Source organism: Homo sapiens, chromosome 13 (assembly GCF_000001405.40).
Source record: "Homo sapiens chromosome 13, GRCh38.p14 Primary Assembly".
In the NCBI taxonomy this organism is placed as follows: Eukaryota; Metazoa; Chordata; class Mammalia; order Primates; family Hominidae; genus Homo; species Homo sapiens.
In genome coordinates this window covers 73,035,421-73,050,825 of record NC_000013.11, presented here as the reverse complement: position 1 = coordinate 73,050,825, position 15,405 = coordinate 73,035,421, and the positions used below count along the sequence as shown (strand labels likewise).

Sequence of the window (15,405 nt, the reverse complement as noted above, 5' to 3'; positions counted from 1 at the left end):
CAGTGAACCGAAGTCGCGCCACTGCACTCCAACCTGGGAGACAGAGTGAGACCATATATATACCACAAGGCACGGCTGTAAGCCTACCTTTCTCCCAGGGTCACACCAGCTCTCCCAGAAAGAATTACCCTCTCTGTTGGTTTCTTCTCTTTCCCTTTGTATCCCCAGTAAAGCACTTCTCACCATCTGCCTTATGCCTGTTGCCCCCAACAAATCGAGTGGCCCTGTAGGGAACAAATGATCTTATCTTTGTGTTCCTCCTGATGCTTCCTAGGGTCCCACACAAAATAGACAAGCAATACTTGGTGAACCCCATCTTATTCGTAATAGACATAAGAGGTAAAATTAAAAATAAAAGTTTGAGGTTATGCACAATGGCTCATGCCTGTGATCCCAGCATTTTGGGAGGCCCAGGTGGGAGGGTGGCTTGAGCTCAAAAGTTCAAGACCAGCCTGGGCAATATAGTGAGACCCCATCTCTCCAAAATAAAAATAAATAAATAAATTAGTTGGGCTGGTGGCATTTGCCTATAGTCCCAGCTACTCAGGAGGTGAAGGTTGGGAGGATCGCTTGAGTTTGGGAGGTCAACACTTCAGTGAGCTATGATGATCGCACCACTGCACTCCAGCCTGGGTGACAGAACAAGACCCTGTTTCAAAGTAAATAAATTAAAAAATAAAAATGTGATAGAATGTCAACTAACAATAGAAGAAGAAATAGTAGAGTTAGAAAAATGACTCACGCCTGTAATCCCAGCACTTTGGGAGGCCAAGGCAGGCGGATCACGAGGTCAGGAGATCGAGACCATCCTGGCCAACATGGTAAAACCCTGTCTCTACTAAAAATACAAAAACTAGCTGGTCATGGTGGCATGTGCCTGTAATCCCAGCTAATCAGGAGGCTGAGGCAGGAGAATTACTTGAACCAGGGAGTCGGAGGTTGCAGTGAGCCGAGATTGCGCCATTGCACTCCAGCCTGGCAACAGAGCAAGACCCCATCTCAAAAAAAAAAAAAAAAAAAAGAGAAAAGAAAAAAGAAAAAGAAAAAGAAAAGAAAAGAAAAAGAAAAATCACCATTTTGTAGCCATCGTAGTATTAATTAATTAATTAATTCAAGCAAGAATCAATGGATACTAAAATGACTGGATGAAATTCAGAAGAGGAACAGGCTACATTTACATAGTCTTAAGGTATTTCCCCCACAGATGAGGTATTAATTTCAATGGAAACCAATGATAACAATGGAAGAGCCTGGCCTACACTACCTTAAACAAGTGATCAAAATCAAGATCACCACCAATAGGACAAACTGGCTGGGTGCAGTAGCTCATGCCTGTAATCTTAATGCTTTGAGAGGCTGAGGCAGGAGGATTGCTTGAGCCTAGGAGTTCAAGACCAGCCTGGGCAACATGCTGAGATCTCATCTCTACAAAAAATAAACCAAAAAAAAAAAATTGCCAGGCATGGTAGTGTGCACCTGTAGTCCGAGCTACTTGGGAGGCTAAGGCAGGAGGTTCACTTAAGCCCAGAAGTTCAAGGCTGCAGTGAGCTTAGATCACACCACTGTGCTCTAGCCTAGGCAACAGAGTGAAATACTATCTCTCTAATGAAAGTTTTTTTTTTAAAAAAAACGACAAAATGAGTTTGTCATTGTCACATTATGAGTTTGCCACATTATGAGTTTCCCAGTGTGAACTGAGAAGGATGCAAAATCAATATCCTGATGTGAACTGAGAAATAATGAGGAATTTATGTACATAAATTTCTACAAAAAATTCGTAACGTGAATCTAATCATGAAGAGAGATAAGACAAACCCCAATTGAGGAACATTCTATAAACGAGTGGCTTCCACTCTTTGAAAAAATGTAGATGTCGTAAGAGAAAAAGAAAAGTTCAGGGACTGTTTTGTTTTGTTTGTTTTTGTGAGACAGAGTCTCCCTCTGTCACCCAAGCTGGAGTGCAGTGGAGTGATCTCAGCTCACTGCAACCTCTGCCTCCTGGGTTCAAGTGATTCTCCTGCCTCAGCCTCCCAAGTAGTTGGGATTACAGGCATGCACCACCACACCTGGCTAACTTTTGTATTTTTTAGTAAAGACAGAGTTTCACCATGTTAGTCAGGCTGGTCTTGAACTCCTAACCTCAAGTGATCCACCTGCCCCCAAAGTGCTAGGATTACAGGTATAAGCCACCATGCCCAGTCAGGCACTGTTCCTTTTTAAAGAAATGGGTAATCCTGGGTTTGGTTTAGATGAAGGGCACAATAAATATTTTGGGGTTATTAGCAAAATTTGAGTATGAACTGTATATTAGACAATAAACCAATGCTACATGACTGAACTTGACAATATAACTAGTGTGTAAGAGGGCTGGGCACGGTGGCTCATGCCTGTAATCTAGGCACTTTGGGAGTCTGAGGTGAGTGGATCACTTGAGGTCAGGAGTCAAGAACAGCCTGGCCAACATGGTGAAACCCCGCCTCTACTAAAAAATACAAAAATTAGCCAGGAGTAGGGGTAGGTGCCTGTAATCCCAGCTACTCCAGAGGCTGAAACAGGAGAATTGCTTGAAGTTGGGAGGCAGAGCTTGCAGTGAGCAGAAATCATGCCACTGCGCTCCAGCCTGGGCGACAGTGAGACTCTGTCTCAAAAAAAAAAAAAAAAACAAACAAAAAACCACCAAACAAACAAACAAAATAAAAATAACTAGTTATATAAGAGAATATCCTTTTTTTAAGGATACACACCCTGATTATTCAAAGGAGGTAAAGGCCATGATGTGAGCAATTAACTGTAAATCAGGAGAAAAAAGTCTGTGTGTGTATGTGTGTCTGTGAGAGTGTATTATATGCATACTGAGAGATATAAACAGACATAGAAACAGATATACAGAGAGAGAGGCAGATGTGGCAAAATATTAATGATTAGCAAATCAGGATGAAAGTATATGGGAATTCTTAAAAAAAAAAAAAGTTTAGCCAGACATGGTAGTGTGTGCCTGTAATCCCAGCTACTCGGGAGGCTGAGGCCGGAGAATCCCTTGAACCTGGGAAGCAGAGGTTGCAGTGAGCCAAGATCGTGCCACTGCACTCCAGTGTGGGCGACAGAGCAAGACTCCGTCTCAAAAAAAAAAAAAAAAAAAAAAGAATGGGAATTCTTTGTATTATTCTTGCAACTTTTTCTGTAGGTTTGAAATCATTGTGAAATAAAACTAAAAACAATAAAAGGAATAACGTTTGAAGACTTTATTTTAACAGATGAAATTCTGCTGTCTAGGACTGGTCTTCGAGGATTTGTATTTATAGAAGGTTGAAAGTTAACTTGAAGAAAACCCAGCACTAATCCACACAAGCAATTCCATCTCAGTTCAAACACATCCCTTTCCTCTGTCTTCATGGACTAGTCATTTCTCTGTCATGATGGCCTCGATGTCTTAGGTGCCACCACAGTTACCACAGTTATCAAACTTGTTTTTATTCTACACCCATGGTGCAGTTTCTGCCGTGTAGCACACTAAATGCTTTGAATGTATGAGAATGAAGACAACACACACACACACACACACACACACACACACACACACACACGAGGCTCCAGAGCTTTAAATGAAAATGTCAGAAAGAACATTACTGCCGTTATGTCTTTAAAAAATATTAGGATAGGCCGGGGGCGGTGGCTCATGCCTATAATCCCAGCACTTTGGGAGGCCAAGGCAGGTGGCTCACTTGAGGTCAGGAGTTTGAGACCAGCCTGGCCAACATGGTGAAACCCCATCTCCACTAAAAATACAAAAAAATTAGCTGGGAGTGGTAGTGGGCACTTGTAATCCCAGCTACTAAGGAAGCTGAGGCAGGGGAATCTCTTGAACCCGGGAGGCAGAGGTTGCAGTGAGCCAAAGTCATGCCATTGCACTCCAGCCTGGGCAACAAGAGTGATACTCCGTCACAAGAAAAAAAAAAAAAAGGCCGGGCGCGGTGGGTCACACCTGTAATCCCAGCACTTTAGGAGGCCAAGGCAGGCAGATCACGAGGTCATGAGATCGAGACCATCCTGGCTAACACAGTGAAACTGTGTCTGTACTAAAAATACAAAAAATTAGCCAGGTGTGGTGGCGGGAGCCTGTAGTCCCAGCTACTTGGGAGGCTGAGGCAGGAGAATTGCTTGAACCCGGGAGGCGGAGCTTGCAGTGAGCCGAGATGGCGCCACTGCACTCCAGCCTGGGCGACAGAGCAAGACTCTGTCTCAAAAAAAAAAAAAAAAAAAGGTAAACATAGTAGAGGCAGTGGTAATAATATGCACAATTCAAACAATAAAATATCAATTTTATTTTAATGTAGTTTTGATTAGGTGTTTTTTGTTTTTGTTTTTGTTTTTGTTTTTGAGATGAAGTCTCACTCTGTTGCCCAAGCTGGAGTGCAATGGTGCGATCTCGGCTCACTGCAACCTCCACCTCCCGGGTTCAAGCGATTCTCCTGCCTCAGCCTCCCAAGTAGCTGGGACTACAGGCATGTGCCACCATGACTGGGTAATTTTTGTATTTTTAGTAGAGACGAGGTTTCACTATGTTGGCCAGGCTGGTCTTGAACTCCTGACGTCGTGATCCGCCCGCCTTGGCCTCCCAAAGTGCTGGAATTACAGGCGTGAGCCACCGTGCCCAACCTGGGTTTAATTTTGAAAAGCCAAAAAACCTGCTGTCAAGGACCATGGGGTTTGATCTTAGTGGGGCCATCCCGACATCGCGCTCTGCAATGTGTTTGAGAAGGCAGATCTGAGGTAGCATGAAATAAAGACCCATGCCAGGCACCAGTTGGACTTTAAAGATATATCTTTCAAATGTGAAAAATACTAGATTCTTCTTTTTATGCCACCAGAACGTTTTGAGGAAATGGGATCCTTTTTTTTTTTTTTTTTTGTTTGAGACAGAGTCTTGCTCTGTCGCCCAGGCTGCAGTGCAGTGGTGCGATCTCGACTCACTGCAAGCTCCACCTCCTGGGTTCACGCCATTCTCCTGCCTCAGCCTCCCGAGTAGCTGGGACTACAGGCGTCTGCCACCACCCCCGGCTAATTTTTTTTTTTTTTTGTATTTTTAGTAGAGATGGGGTTTCACCATGTTCGGCAGGATGGTCTCGAACTCCTGACCTTGTGATCCGCCCCCCTCGGCCTCCCAAAGTGCTGGGATTACAGGTGTGAGCCACCGCGCCCGGCAGAAATGAGATCCTTAACACTGTTCACAACATTATTGTTGAGGTTTGGAATCCCAGACATAATGAGCAGGGTGGCCTAATGGCACGTGGCAACAGAAGACAGAGCACACACAAAGGATGATTGAAGAGATGCCGATGCAAATTGCCCACAGCGTGTATGTATGAGGGAGAAAGGAGTCATTGAAGATTTTCCTATGATAAAGTATTTTTAAAACAACCAACAGATACGTACTGGACTCCTATGAGTAAAAACACTGAGAGTCCAGACAAAAGCGAAGCTGCTTCAGTTGAATAGAATCCCATCTAGTTTAAGTTACAATATATACACATGCAAAATACAAAACTTTATCATGTCCCAAATGCATGGTGAACCAGGAAGAGAGAGATCACTGTGGACTTTGATACTTGGATTAACCCTTAAAGAAAGCGCAAGTCTCTGCAAACTGCAAAACGGTAGATAGGAGGAAAGCGGAGGGAATTCCGGGCAAGAACTAGCTTGGTGCTTAGGGTTCAACACAGATTACATAAATTGATGAGAACAATTAGCCCCTAAATGGATCAAATCAGATTTCTCCATGATGTGTAAATAATTTATGTAATAAAGTCCAGGAGAATTTCTAACATAATGGAAAGTCTTGTGAATCAGTGTGATCATAAAGTTAAAAGACATAGCCAGGTGCAGTGGCTCATGCTTGTAGTCCTGGCTACTTGGGAGGCTGAGGCAGGAGGATTGCTTGAGCCTATCAGGTTGAGGCTACAGTGAGCTGTGATCTCACCATTCTCTCCAGCCTGGGTGACAGAGTGAGACTCTATCCCCTGACAAAAAAAAAAAAGTTAAATGATAAGTGACCCCTCTACCCTCAAGTTCCCAAAATAGTAAGTGACTAGGAGAAATTATTTGCAGCAAAAGATTAATATTCACAATCACAAAAGACATTCTTTAAAAAGCTATTTAAAGAAAAAGATAAACTGGCCAGGCATAGTGGCTCACGCATGTAATCCCAGCACTTTGGGAGGCTGAGGCAGGTGGATCACCTGAGGTCAGGAGTTCGAGACCCGCCTGACCAACATGGAGAAACCCTGTCTCTACTAAAAATACAAAAATTAGCCGGGCGCAGTGGCTCACGCCTGTAATCCCAACACTTTGGGAGACTGAGGTGGGCAGATCACAAGGTCAAGAGATTGAAACCATCCTGGCCAACACGGTGAAACACCGTCTCTACTAAAAATACAAAAAAATTAGCTGGGTGTGGTGGCACATGCCTGTAATCCCAGCTACTAGGGAGGCTGAGGCAGGAGAATCACCTAAACCCAGGAGGTGGAGGTTGCAGTGAGCTGAGATCACGCCACTGCACTCCAGCCTGGTGACAGAACGAGACTCCATCTCAGGAAGAAAAAAAAAAATTAGCCAGGTGTGGTGGTGGGTGCCTGTAATCCCAGCTACTTGGGAGGCTGAGGCAGGAGAATTGTTTGAACCCAGGAGGCGGAGGCTGTGGTCAGCCAAGATCGTGCCATTGCACTCCAGCCTGGGCAACGAGCAAAACTCCATCTCAAAAAAAAAAAAAAAAAAAAAGATAATGCGACAAACAAAAAATTAGGCAATAGGAGTAAATAGGCAATTCACAAAAAAGACATACAAATGGCCAATAAACATAGGAAAAGATTTCCAACCCCCTGACTATGAGGAAAATGCAAATTAAAACAGTAATGGAATAGCATTTTGTTCAACTGATGTACAAAAATGAGAAAGATTCCAGGAGGATGTAGAGGAAACTGAAAGTCTCATAATGTCAGTAAAAATATAACTTCTTGTGGACTTTGTAAAATATATATCTGTACAGAGGGCAATTTCATGGATCTGTTAAATATAAAATTTCGGCTGGGTGTGGCGACTCACACCTTTAATCCTAGCACTTTGGGAGGCTGAGGTGGGTGAACTGCTTGAGCTCAGGAGTTTGAGACCAGCCTGAGCAACATGGGCAAAACCCCATCTTTACAAAAATAAAAAATAAAAAAATATATATATGCATACACACACACACACATAAAAGTGTCATACACTTTGACATTCCATTTTTAAGAATTTGTTCCTCAAAATTATTCAAATGTGCACAAAGATAGGCATAGCAGAATGTTTATTGCAGCACTGTTTGTCATAATGAAAAATCAGCAGCCATCTAAATATCCAACAGTAAGTATGTAATGATCAAGTAAATGATTAAGTAAACTCTAGTACATCCACACCATGTACTACTATTCAGCAATTTTTTTTTTGTTGGAGATGGAGTCTGGCTCTGTCACCAGGCTGGAGTGCAGTGGCGCGGTCTCGGCTCACTGCAACCCCCACCAGGCTGGAGTGCAGTGGTACACTCTTGGCTCACTGCAACCTCCGCCTCCCAGGTTCAAGCGATTCTCCTGCCTCTGCCTCCCAAGTAGCTGGGATTACGGGCACGCGCCACCACGCCCAGCTAATTTTTGTATTTTTAGTAGAGATGGAGTTTCACCATGTTGGCCAGGTTGGTCTTGAACTCCTGACCTCATGATCTGCCTGCCTCGGCCTCCCAAAGTGTTGGGATTACAGGCGTGAGCCACCGCACCTGGCCTATTCAGCAATTTTAACAGAATAAAGTGTCTATATCTGTACTGACACAAGAAGATCTCTAGGCTGGGCATGGTGGCTCACGCCTGTAATCCCAGCAGTTTCGGTGGCTGAGGCAAGAGGATTGCTTGAGGCCACAAGTTTGAGACCAGCCAGGCCAACATAGCAAGACCTTGTCTCTATTTTAAAAAATGAATAATAAGGCCAGGCGCGGTGGCTCACGCCTGTAATCCCAGCACTTTGGGAGGCCGAGGTGGGTGGATCACGAGATCAGGAGATCGAGACCATCCTGGCTAACATGGTGAAACTCTGTCTCTACTGAAAATACAAAAAATTAGCCAGGCGTGGTGGCAGGCGCCTGTAGTCCCAGCTACTCGGGAGGCTGAGGCAGGAGAATGGCATGAACCCGGGAGGCAGAGCTTGCAATGAGCAGAGACTGCGCCACTGCACTCCAGCCTGGGCGACAGAGCGAGACTCCATCTCAAAAAAAAAAAAAAAAAAAAAAGAATAATAAATTTTAAAACAATAATACAAATAAAATAAAATAAAGATACAAAGAGAAAGAGAGGCCTTGTGTTTACCTGTTTAAAAAATGTTAGAACCTCACAATAACTGAGTTTAGTTTCTTAATCTACTCCACATATGCTGTAAGATACAAAGCACTGGCAGCAGCTCCTGAAAAGGAACCAGCAGAATGATCAATGTGATGCTTGCTATGTAGCATTTTACAAAGTCAACTTATGAAAGAAAGTCTGATCCTTTCAATTTTCCTGCCCAATTATTTTCGGTTGATATGTCTCTGGAAAATCTCTATCCCTCTCACCATGAATATTTGATTAAGTCTATTCATTTTTTTCCTCCATAAAGCATCCTGGTTTACACTTCGCCTTGTTTGTTTGGTGAGGTGGTTGAATGCATTTGTTTGTATGATCCTGGTAATATGTCATCATTGGAGTTATAATATGTTAATTTTTCAGAAATTTACAAAAACTAAAGAGAGGATACTTAATACCAGTGCCACCTCAATTCAGTGATATCAGTATACAAACACACTGGCCATTGTGACATGTAGCAACAATCCAGTATGTTTAATGTTTAAGAAGCCAAGTCGGCTGGGTGCGGTGGCTCACACCTGTAATCCCAGCACTTTGGGAGGCTGAGGCAGGTAGATCACAAAGTCATGAGTTCGAGACCAGCCTGGCCAATATGGTAAAACCCTGTCTCTACTAAAAATACAAAAATTAGCCGGACGTGGTGTTGGACTCTTGTGGTCTCAGCTACTCGGGAGGCTGAGGCAGGAGAAGCGCTTGAACCTGGGAGGCGGAGATTGCAGTGAGCCAAGATCGTGCCACTGTACTCCAGCTTGGGTGACAGAGCAAGACTCCGTCAAAAAAAAAAAAAAAAAAAAAAAAAGAAGCCAAGTCACATTTTTTTTAAGATGGGATCTTTCTTTGGTATCTAAGCTGGCGTGCAGTGGCGCAATCATAGCTCACTGCAGCCTGGAACTCCTGGGCTCAAGCAATCCTCTTGCCTCAGCCTCCTGAGTGTAGCAAGGACTACAGGCGCATACCACTGCGTCTGGCTAATTTTTAAATTTTTTTGTAGAGACAAGGTCTGTCTTTGTTGCCCAGGCTGGCAAGTCACTTCATAGGAACTCATGTTTTGCAAAGATACAGGCAATAACACATTTTTTATGATAGCTTGGTAAATCTCTTAAAAGGGAGAGGTTTATGGCAGAAATGATAACGCTCTAACTACATGTGTGTGGTTAACTCTGTTTCAGCCATTCAAGTTAACTTCTACCTATATTTATGGGCTTGATTGCATAATGTATGAAGTTTGCAGGAAGTACCTGGAAGATAAGGTTACATAGACAAGTTATTTAAGTTTGAAAATAAACCACAGCTCATGCTGGGAAACTAGTTTATAGACAATTTTGTAACACAAGTGAATACGTCATTCATTTTCTTTTAATATTTTTCTTATCGCATAGTTAACATTAGGAGATTAATCATTGTTTGACTGTGCAGCATAGTAAGTTAACAGAAAAATGTAGCATCAGGGATTGATTAGCTGAAAAGTCAGTGAGTTACATTATAGAAGCGAAGATAAAGACTTGATGATATTTAAACCATCCAAACAAATGGATGATTTGCATATATGATGATGTCCCACTGGACAATGGTTTTCTTCATGAGCGTCATTCAGTAGTAAGACTCAGGTCTACTGACAAATATTGCTTGATCAACATATCATTTGCCGCAAGAAATGACCTTTTATGGTTAATGTGTAACTGATTACTGTTCTTCCTCTATAGTAGCCTACATTTTACAGCAGAGAAATACACTGTGTACACTTAGTGCCCTACAACACTAAAACATGTCAAATGGTGGTGGTATACCTTCATATATTATGATATTTGGCATTGTGCAATGGTTATGACACATTTGCAGTGCGTTCACCCTGTGTTTCAGCTCTTGTTATATGCAATAAAACTTTTGCCACAATATTTAGATACTTAGAAAAATCAAGACTATTTTTCTTACAAATTAAGAAAAGAAGAACTAAAATCTCTCATGGAGGCAATAGAGGTTTGAAAGATAATGTATGTAGAGGAAAAACTACTCCATTCTAATGAAAGCAAATTACCCTACAATCTTTGGTGTGGAAAATTAAAACTAATGACATGTTCACATTATAATGCAAAATTGCCTGTAACCTATTTTCCTAGCATGAGATGCAGCTTTTTTTCAAACGTAAATAATGTGTCCATTTAATAATTTACTCTTCTCCATTACTGCAAAGACAAAAAAAAAAAAAAAGCATTTACAATCGCCACCTTTCTATTCCATTAATTGTCAAGAACAATCCAAGAGAGTTCTGTTATTTTCCCTGTGATAATTTTAACAGATCGAACGATTTTTTTAAAACAGGTATTCATATATCTGAGGGCTCTATCTTTTTAAGTGAATGTAAGTAAAATGTGCCACCTTATTAAGTTGGAAATGACCTGTTATCTGTTATTTCTTGACCTTGCAGAGGTTTACAGTGACAAGTGAATTAACCAGGTGAGGGAGAGGGTTTGCTAGTGACTCAGTCACAGTCTATTGTGTGGGATGGCACCTAGCAAAGCATTTAGATTAGGCTGGGGAGGGAACAAAGCTAGGTACACTCTCTCCAGCTTCAGGTAAACAGGATTATTGTTTTCCATCCCTGCTGTTTGGAATGAATGCAATGCTGCAAAGCTAATTGCTGCCATAATTAGGAAAAAAAAACAAGAAGAAGAAGAAATGACTTGGAATGTGTTAATTCAGTATGCTTTAAACCTCAGAGATATCATTTTTCCTCATACACAGGCGAGGCTGGCTCTATTCATAGCTTTTTAAATGATAAGTTTAAATGTTAACATAATATTGAAAAAAATCCTTGGAAGGTAGCAGTTGGTAAGTACTTGGTGTATACAATGCTGAATGGTGGTCATTATTAGCATTGCAACCAGGTGAGTAGAAAAATCCCATTCTGGGACTTAATACCATGTACAGTAACAAATGCAATCAATTGAAATGTTCCTCTTAGAACAGGCCTTGCTGTGTGCCCAGTCTTTGCCACATACTATTTCATAAAGTATGCAACTTTCAAACCACCTCCACATAAGATTTCACTCTGCTGTTGAGAAATTCTTCCTCATGTCTAAGTAAATCACCCTATCTGCAGTTTAGCAATTCTGTTTCCTCACATCTTCAGCAACATCTAACATTCTGTATTAACATATGTCTTCAGCCGGGTAAAGTGGCTCACACCTGTAATCCCAGCACTTTGGGGGGCTGAGGCAGGTGGATCACAAGGTCAAGAGATCAAGACCATCCTGGCCAACATGGTGAAACCCCATCTGTACTAAAAATACAAAAATTAGCTGGGTGTGGTGGCATATGCCTGTTGTCCCAACTACTCAGGAGGCTGAGGCAGGAGAATCACCTGAACCTGGGAGCCGGAGGTTGCAGTGAGCCGAGGTCGCACCACTGTACTCCAGTCTGGTGACAGAGCAAGACTCCTTCTCAAAACAGAACAAAACAAAAAAACAAAAAACAAACAAAAACAAAAACAAACAAACAAAAACATATATATATATATATATATATATATATATACATGTAAGAAGAGAGATATATATATCTCTCTTCTTACGACAAAAAACTCAGCCTAATACCACAAAATGAACATAGCAGAACTGAAAAAAAATTTCTGTCTCCATATGGTACTCATGTACTCTAATTGGACTGTTGGTTGCAAATTTAAAAATAAAATTTGGGAATCAGAAATTGTTTGAGTTGTGGATTCCTACGTGCTGTTTCTAAATGTAAAGTCTTCGTAAAACGGCCTCCTGAGCTGCCAGCATAATTATGGTGAACAGGTTAGTAAGGACATCTCAGTTAAGGCTCTGCATGTTGTTCTGTGCTTTATAGGGAAAATTAAGCATTTTTGAGATTTAAATCTTATTCTTCATAAGATAACTTTTTTGACCTACATGAACATTAATGAAAGCACTAATAATTATAGCTTTTTGCTGCTTGGCCTAAAACAATCTTTCTACTATAATTAGATTTGAAGGGGAACTAGGAAAGACTTTCCATAAAATGCTGTCACAAATTCCCTCCAAAACTGCTTGCCTGTAATTAAGGTGCATTTACAGATCTGATATTCCTTAAAAGAAACATTAACATCACAAAGACCAATCATTCATGGTCAACAAAGGGGATTCAGATTCTCTGATCAAAGCAGTAATCTCTTTTACAGTTGTTACTTTTGAAGTATCTTCAAACAGAACAAACACACATTGACTAGGTAAACAGGTATAGCTGTGGGCTAATTTGCTGTTTCCAGGATTAGACTGTTTTCCCACAAGACCCAAACATAGTAAGGTATAGCCTGTTTTCCATTCCAAACCCTAAACTGCTGATGCTAAGGAGTAATGTTAAAAGGGAAAAGTCCCAAATATGGTTTTTACTATTAAAACTATAAGGTCATCATATATATCATATATTTATTTCTTTATTTTTATTTATTTATTTTTTTGAGACGGAATTTCGCTCTTGTTGCCCAGGCTGGAGTGCAATGGCATGATCTTCATTCACTGTAACCTCTGCCTCCCAGGTTCAAGCGATTCTCCTGCCTCAGCTTCCCAAGTAGGTGGGATTACAGGCATATGCCACCACGCCTGGCTAATTTTGTATTTTTACTAGAGATGGGGTTTCACTGTGTTGGTCGGGCTGTCTCAAACTCCTGACCTCAGGTGAGATCCACCCACCTTGGCCTCCCAAAGTGCTGGGATTACAGGCGTGAGCCACCGCGCCCGGCTGGTCATCTTATATTTTTAATATAACCTTTCCTTTTTCTCAAAATTGCTTGTTTTAAAAAATGTCAGCAAGCTTTTAAAATGATAAACGGCAGAAAAATACACATTACAGGTGGTTAAGTGAAAGAGTACTGAATTTGGATTGCGAAAATTTGAATTTGAGTTTCACCTTTCTCTAGCTGTAAGGCATTGAGTACATTCCTTAACAACTCAAGACCTTTCCCTGAAAATGTAAAATCGGGATAATAGCACATCCCTAACTAGGCTGTTTGTGAAGGTCACATAATGGACACACCAGGACAGGAGTAGGCCCATTTTAAAAATTAAAGCATTATCCAAATAGGCAGTTTGGAGATTTAAATAAGAATATATGGGTTTTTTTATTTTTGTTTTTGTTTTATTGTTGTTGGTTGGTTTTTTGTTGATGTTGGTTGGTTGGTTGTCGTTGTTGCTGTTTTTGAGACAGGGTCTTACTCCATCCCCTAGGCTGGAGCGCAGGGGTCAGGTGTGATCATGGCTCACTGCAGCCTTGACCTCCTGGGCTCAAGTGATTCTCCTGCCTCAGCCTCCTGAGTAGCTGGGACTATAGGCATGTGCCACTATGACCAGCTAATTTTTTTGTTTTTGGGTTTGTGTGTGTTTTTTTTCTTGTTTACCAGTTTATTATAAAGGACATTATAAAGGTATAGATGAATGGGCAGCTGAAGAGGTACATAGGGTGAGGTCCAGAAGGGTCCCGAGCATAGGAGCTTCTGTTCCCATGAAGTTGGGGTGCACCACTCTTCTGGCATGTGGATGTGTCACCAACCTAGATGCTCACAAAACCCCTTGGCTGCTGCCTAGTGCAATGCTGTAGCCTCATAATGTCCTTAGCATGAGGATTAGCCCTGCCTTCTAGTAACATGACAGCAATCTCATGCCTATTTTTGGAAGCTGCATAATGTAGGGGAGTACAGTCATTTTGATGGACAGCATTCACTTGAGCACCTTTTCCCAGAAGGGCTTTTACAATCTCATCCCGGCCAGCAGAAGCCGCAATTTGAGAGGAGACCAACTTGCATCGTCTTTATCATTCACTGGCACTCCAAGTTGCAACAAAAATTCATCAATTCCTTTATGTCCAGCTGAGCATGCCTAGTGCAATGCTGTTCTGCTGTCCTGGTCAGTTCTAGTAGCTAGGGATTTATCGGCCAGAATACCCTCCTTGAACTCTTCCAGCTTCCTGCTGTAGGCCAGATTGCAGACCATTAGGTTAGACACACACCCCTCCATTTTGCTTTCCCAGGAACTCGTGTGTGTGTGTGTTTTGAGACAGGTTCTCACTCTGTCACCTAGGCTGGGGTGCAATGGCACCATCATGGCTCATCACAGCCTTGACCTCCCGGGCTCAGGTGATCCTTCCACCTCAGCCTCCCGAGTAGCTGGAACTACAGGTGTGTGCCACCATGCCTGCCTGATTTTTTTATTTTTGGTAGAGATGGGGTTTTGCCATGTTGCCTAGGATGGTCTCGAACTCCTGGGCTCGAGCGATCCGCCCACCTCAGTCTCCCAAAGTGCTGGGATTACAGGCATGAGCCAATGAGCCCAGCTAAGAATACACATTTTTAAATCTTATTGTTTCTCTGGATAAACATTCTTGAAGTCCTAATGAGTAAAAAGAAAAAAAAAAACAAAACAAAAAACTTTACCACCTTGTAACAGCTTATATGTTAAACGTGCTTCAGGAAACTCAAGCTCTGTGACTCAAGAATGTTAAACAAGTTTCTTTTCTAAAGTGCTTTGCAGAGCCCTTTAAATCTCCAAAAGAATCACAGTAGTATGAAATGTATGTCAAACATTTGACAGTACAGCTGTTTTATCCTGAGGCTATTGGCGGAACTAGTGTTCCTTCAAAAACACTTTGGGAATTGCTGTCTTTTAGTTGAGTAGTGAGCACTTAGATCCTCAAGCAAATCTATTTTTTTTTTTTAATTCTAAAAAAGCAAGTCTATTTTTTAAGGCTGTACCATTTGGTATAAGATTACAGTTAATGGCCATAGAGTGTCCTAAAGTCAATCGCAGCATAAGGAGTTTGTAAAAATTTGCCACTGTGAGTCTATATATCTAGCAGCTCCACCACTTATAATGAGTGACTTTAGGTAAGGTTTTAAATGTATCTAAGCCTCGGTATTCTCATCTGTAAAACAGGGAGAATATTTACTGCATAGATCGTGGCAAAAATCAAATAAAGGTAGTTGGCACAGTGAGCTTAA

The 15,405-nt window shown here is 41.7% G+C and overlaps 1 pseudogene, besides 2 other annotated features; it reads right to left on the bottom strand.

Annotated features, from left to right (window-relative positions):
* Positions 12,068–12,898: an enhancer, noted in NCBI's record as "NANOG-H3K27ac hESC enhancer chr13:73612066-73612896 (GRCh37/hg19 assembly coordinates)". NCBI's record gives its function as "activates a minimal SCP1, AML or CMV promoter by ChIP-STARR-seq in primed H9 embryonic stem cells {active_cell/tissue: H9 hESC(primed)}" and the evidence as "EXISTENCE:reporter gene assay evidence [ECO:0000049][PMID:30033119]".
* Positions 13,949–14,625: an enhancer, noted in NCBI's record as "H3K27ac-H3K4me1 hESC enhancer chr13:73610339-73611015 (GRCh37/hg19 assembly coordinates)". NCBI's record gives its function as "activates a minimal SCP1, AML or CMV promoter by ChIP-STARR-seq in primed H9 embryonic stem cells {active_cell/tissue: H9 hESC(primed)}" and the evidence as "EXISTENCE:reporter gene assay evidence [ECO:0000049][PMID:30033119]".
* Positions 13,979–14,443, bottom strand: PSMD10P3 (proteasome 26S subunit, non-ATPase, 10 pseudogene 3; annotated as a pseudogene).